The sequence below is a fragment of the Homo sapiens genome, chromosome 16, assembly GCF_000001405.40.
Source record: "Homo sapiens chromosome 16, GRCh38.p14 Primary Assembly".
Lineage (NCBI taxonomy): Eukaryota > Metazoa > Chordata > Mammalia > Primates > Hominidae > Homo > Homo sapiens.
In genome coordinates, this window is record NC_000016.10 from 56,862,208 (window position 1) to 56,863,195 (window position 988).

At 54.8% G+C, this 988-nt stretch overlaps 1 annotated feature.

The window, feature by feature from the left end:
- Positions 731-780: an enhancer, noted in NCBI's record as "active region_10854". NCBI's record gives its function as "activates an Ori minimal core promoter by ATAC-STARR-seq in GM12878 lymphoblastoid cells {active_cell/tissue: GM12878}" and the evidence as "EXISTENCE:reporter gene assay evidence [ECO:0000049][PMID:35858748]".

Consider the following 988-nt stretch of genomic DNA (forward strand, 5'->3'; position numbering starts at 1 on the left):
TCTGGAAGAGGAGTAAGAGGTTAGCAAGAGGGACAGAGTGAGCCAGCCAGGCCTTCCTGTGAGTTCTCAATCATCCAGTGCTGACTGGCTGTTGGGGGTCATGGAGCCCTAAGGATTTCGAGCACCATGGAGCCAGTCCTCTGGGGGACCTGTGTGAACTCTGTGAGCCCAAGCCCGAGAGGCAGGGCTAGGGAGGGAGAGGAAGTATGTCCCTCCATGTCCCTCCCAAGGATGACCAGAGCTACAGCATAAGCCAAGCTCAGATGTCTACAGCTGGCAATAGCCTTTCTATCCCCTGCCTCCAGGAAGAGCAACTTATTCTCTAAGAATCAGGTCAGGGGTCCCCTCCTCCAGAAGCCTTCCCTGGTTGTCCCTACCCTGACCCTCCTCCAGGGACACCTCTCCCATTGCTACCCTCACTACACAGCTGGGCTGATCTGTTTCCATGCTGATTTCCTGAACGAACTCAGCAGCATCATGAGCACAGGCGCAGTGCCCACCATGTGTGTCCTTGGCTCCTATCGCACCCACCTATGGCATGGTGGGTGGTCAATAAAAGTTTGTTGGGTGAATGGCTGCAAGATGGAAACCTCAGCAGAGGTGACAAAGAGATCAGTGATTTTCTGGTCAGCCGCTAGATCACCCCACTCCTGAGTAGCAGACTCCAAGATAGGGGAGTGTGTGCAGGGCATTCAACAGGGAGCCTCTTGTGGTCAGTACTTGTGGGTAGAAGGGAAGGAAGCAGGGCTGGGCAGAGGGAGAAGTGAGCTTCGGTGTATACCCAAAGCCTCAGCTGGGGCAGGGTGTCAGCTCTTTATAGCCACATCCGTCAGTCATTGAATGCTGGCCTCTTGGAGGAAAGGTGACAACAGGTGAGGCCAGCACCATAGGGGCTGACACTGAGAGCCCTCACAACAGCTGGGAAAATACGCCCTCCATTTCTAGTGACACATCAAGTGTGCGCCCACTAACTCATCTCTCCAGACCC